This window comes from Homo sapiens, chromosome 17, assembly GCF_000001405.40.
Source record: "Homo sapiens chromosome 17, GRCh38.p14 Primary Assembly".
Lineage (NCBI taxonomy): Eukaryota > Metazoa > Chordata > Mammalia > Primates > Hominidae > Homo > Homo sapiens.
Window position 1 is genome coordinate 74,176,773 of NC_000017.11, and position 4,477 is coordinate 74,181,249.

General features: G+C 52.6%; 1 annotated feature.

The window, feature by feature from the left end:
• Positions 3,195-3,771: an enhancer, noted in NCBI's record as "H3K4me1 hESC enhancer chr17:72176106-72176682 (GRCh37/hg19 assembly coordinates)". NCBI's record gives its function as "activates a minimal SCP1, AML or CMV promoter by ChIP-STARR-seq in primed H9 embryonic stem cells {active_cell/tissue: H9 hESC(primed)}" and the evidence as "EXISTENCE:reporter gene assay evidence [ECO:0000049][PMID:30033119]".

Genomic DNA, 4,477 nt, shown 5'->3' on the forward strand with positions numbered 1-4,477 from the left:
TAAGATGGGCACAGCCCAGGCCCTGTTATCCCCCTAGGACCATCTAGACCTTCCCTCTCCGCCAGCCCTTCCCAGGCTCCCCCTTCCATCCATTAAGAAACACTGGCATCTAGTGGTTGTGTGAGGGACCTGCAGCGCAGACCCGGCTTCCAAGAACAGGGCCCATAGATGGAGAAGCCTCTGACAGCCCTATCTAGAAACAAGGAGCCCCGTATTCCATACTGCCCTCTGCAGCATCCCTCCCTCTCCCTCTGAAGAACCCCCAAGACCCCCAAACAACATGGGAGTCAAGAACCAGTGTTGAAATGGCCATGTTGCCCATCCTTGCTGAAGACCACCCAGACACCTCCCTGGTGATGAGGAGGGGAGAGAACCTGTGGATGAAACACCCCATGGCCAATCCACAAAGTGAGTCATTAGGAGCTGAGCACAAGCCCAAATTCCAGACAAATAGGACAGCTTCCTACCACGGTGGCTGCCAATCTGCCAGCCACTCCATCATGTGACCCCCCCCCCCAGACACTTAGTCAGCACTCCCAGGTGCCCAGCATCATACCAGGCTGTTGACAGTGTGTGCCTGCATGTGTGTGTGCATGGATGAGCACAGGGAGAGATGTGTGCAGAGGAAAGAAGAGGCACACAGCATGAGTCACTGGCAGACATAAGCAAGTGAACCATAAAATAATCTAAATTCATTTATTCAACACATACTTCCCAACACCTGCTGTGCACCAGAGAGAGCTGCTCCCAAGCCACCAAGGGCTCACCCCAACCCTACCACCTGACAGCTACCTGAAAATAGTCTACCCCGCACTCCTACCCTCCAGTTAACCTACTTTGCATACGTTAAAGACTGTTTTACCATTGGCTTGCATCTCTGCATCCCCTGTAGCTAGGTCTACCCCGCACTCCTACCCTCCAGTTAACCTACTTTGCATACGTTAAAGACTGTTTTACCATTGGCTTGCATCTCTGCATCCCCTGTAGCTAGCACACAGAAGGGGCCTAATATGTGCTTATTGAAGTCATTAATCCAGTCCAGCGCCTGCCAAAGCGGGAATCCCTTCTGATAACGTCACCGATGGCTGCTCTCCCAGCCCCCTCAAGGGCCACCGGTTATTCCGTATGCTGTTGTGTCCGTCAGGTTTCTGTGGCAAGGGACAGAACAGCAACTCGGATTCACTGGAGTAGAGAAGGGAGCTGCACAGGCAGAGAGAGCAGAGTTGGGTGCTGGCAGGTGCGGATTGAGGGTAAGAAAGAGAACGGAGTCAGGTGCTGGCAGGCCTGGATGACCACATCTGGTTTTCCCATCCTTTTATTCTGTTTTCCTTAGCCCCCTGCCATGCCCATATCCCCATCTCCAGACTCTGCTTCTGTTTGTTGCTGGTCCTAGCCTGCCCTTCTGCATACCAGCTGCCTTCATGCAGCAGGAGGAAGGGAGATGGCCACAGGCTCTTCCAGGCTTGCACGATCCTAGCACAGGATCCCAGAGGCTCCCTCTCCCTCTCCTGTTGAACATATCTTTTTTTTTTTTTTTTGAGACAGCGTTTTGATCCTGTTGCTCAGGCTAGAGTGCAATGGTGCAATCTCAGCTCACTGCATCCTCCACCTCCTGGGTGCAAGTGATTCTCCTGCCTCAGCCTCCCAAGTACCCAGGTAGCTGGGATTACAGGCACCTGCCACCACGCCAGGCTAATTTTATGCTTTTTTAGTGGAGATGGGGGTTTGCTATGTTGGCCAGGCTGGTCTTGAACTCCCGACCTCAGAAGATCCACCCGCCTTGGCCTCCCAAAGTACTGGGATTACAGGCGTGAGCCACTGTGCCCGGACATATCTTGAGGAATATCTAAATCTCAGGAATGACTCTGTCTGGACCAGTTCCGATCCCTGAGTCCCCACTGCCCAACCTCCTGTCCATTCTTAAGGCCTGAGAGACAGGTACAATGTCCCAGGGCACACATGTCTGCCCCTGTGGTCAAGGGGAGGGGAAAGGACACTGTTACTACCTGCCCATCAGAATTGTGTGCAATGGGAAGTAGGACAGAAGAATCTTCCAAATGAGGGAGGGTATCTTACCAGGAAGAGGGAAGGAGACATGCCGAGAAAGTGCAGTGTTTCAACAGTGTCCCCCAAAACATTCACTTCCATCTGATCCTCAGGATGTGACCTAATTTGGAAATAGGGTCTTTGCAGATGTAGTTAGGGTGAGGATCAAGCAGAGATTATCCTCTTGATAATCTCTTTGAAGGGTGTTTTGGGGGGCCAGCCGTGGTGGCTGACGCCTGTAATACCAACACTTTGAGAGGCTGAGGTGGGCAGATACCTGAGGCCAGGAGTTCAAGACCAGCCAGGCCAACATGGCCAAACCCCATCTCTACTAAAAATACAAAAATTAGCCAGGCGTGGTGGCACACGTGGTGGCTGTAATACCAGCTATTTGGGAGGCTGAAGCAAGAGAATCGCTTGAACCTGGAAGGCAGAGGTGGCAGTGAGCCGAGATCGCGCCACCGCACTCCAGCCTGAGCAACAGAGACTCTGTCTCAAAAAAAAAAAAAAAAGAAGAGATTATCCTGGATTAGGGTGGGTCCTAAATCCAGAGAGCATGTCCTTTTAAGAGACAAAAAAGGAAACACACAGACACAGGAAGGAGACCACGTGAGGATGGAGGCAGAGACTCGAGTGATGTGGCCACAAGCCGAGGGACACCAGGAGCCCCGCCAGCAACTGGGATAGGCAAGAAGGGACCCTCCCCTAGAGCCTCAGAGGGAGCACAGCCCTTCCGACACCTGGATTTCAGACTTCTGTGCTGAAGAACTGGGAGAGTATCAATTTCTGCTGTTTTAGGCCAACAAATGTGTGATCATTTGTGATGGCAGCTCTTAGAAAAGAACCCAGGAGGCCAAGACCAAAAGTCGTCCACTGTGCCATTTTCTGGGGTGGCAGATGTTTTAGGGGGCTGGAAAGCACCTGGTGGAGGTGTCAGCTCACTTCCCAGAGCCACGCCCACCAGCCGCCACTCTGCTGCAGAGACTCGGCTCAGGACCACTCCTCCCTGAACTGTCTGTCTAGAGCCTGCACACATGTGTGACATGGCAGACCCTAAAGTGTCCAGAGATTTTAGGACCTCCCCACCACCACCACCATCAACCACTTATGAGTAAACTGAGGCCCAGAGAAGCTAAACAGCCTGTCCCCTTCAGATAGTTAGAAGAATTTCTGAATACAAGGAAGAATTCTTCAGTAAAATTGATACATGACCTCTTTCTTTCTTCTTTGTTAAAAAATCTGATTAATTAGTAAAAGCTGGAGTGTTTGATAGTCACTGCTGAGAACACTGGAATCGTCAGGAAGCTAAATGCTTCTGAGCAACGGGCAAAGCGCTGGAGATCAAGCGGGCATTTTTTTGGCCTAAGATTTTGACAGGGTCAAGAGGACGTTCAACCCCTCACTGAGCCTTCGCGCTCCTTGTCTAATTTAATTGTTTGGAAGTCAGAAAGTGCAGTAGCTTTCTAGTTTCTTCTTTTCCAGGCTGAGATTTCATTCCTTGAAACATTCTTCTTTCCTTGATACAGTTTGCAAGGCCTCCACCTTGCTGGCAAGCAATCTGTGCACACACTCACCGCTCCTCACTGCAGCCTCACTGCTGGGCTGCCTGCTCTGGCCCTGCCGGGAGACCTGGGCTGGGGCAGGATGGTGGCCGCTGCCCGGAGGCACGGGGCGGGGAGAGACGTGTTGAGATCAGGCCTCTCCCATCAGCCCCCAGGCCCAGGAGTGGACACAAAACATGGAGAGCCCAGCTCCTGACTCCTCCCATTCCAGCCCTCCCAGCCCCCTCCACAGAGAAATCCAGAGCCCATCCCAGGCAGCTTCTCCAGGCAGCAGGTGGTTCCACAGCCTAATTCAGGACCTCTAATCTCCCCCCAGGTCCCCAGCTTCTGAGACTTTGACGTACTGACTCCTGCCTCCCACCTGCGAAGCCCAGCAAAGCTCTCGCCTTTCTCCCACTCCCAAGAGTTGACAGACTCCAGGCTGCTTTTCAGATGATTTGGGGACCTTCCTGGGAGACACTTTGAAGCCTCTTCAAAGCCAACTGTGTTGTGAGCAGCTGCCAAGCTGCAGAAAGTCCCCGCAGCCCTGGGCCACCTCTAATTACCAAGCCCACCATCACCCTGTCAGTGCCTTTGGTGGGCCCTTCCTCTGCAGCCAGCAGCAAGTGCCCATCGTCACCCAAGAGCAGGAGGAGGGAGAGGAGTCTGCAAGGAACTTCTTCCAAAGAACACTGCACTTCCAAAGAACTGCACCTGAGGAGTTCCCGTGAACAAACGTGAACAACTGGTCTGATATTTACTAAGCGCCAGGGGTGCCCCTGTGCTGTCTCACACTGAGCTAGGCACACGAAGAAAATGGAAGTTGTGCAAAGGCTCAACTTCTGTTCTCCCCAGTTTCTCTCCTCTGCACTTTAGGCTCTGAGCTGCTG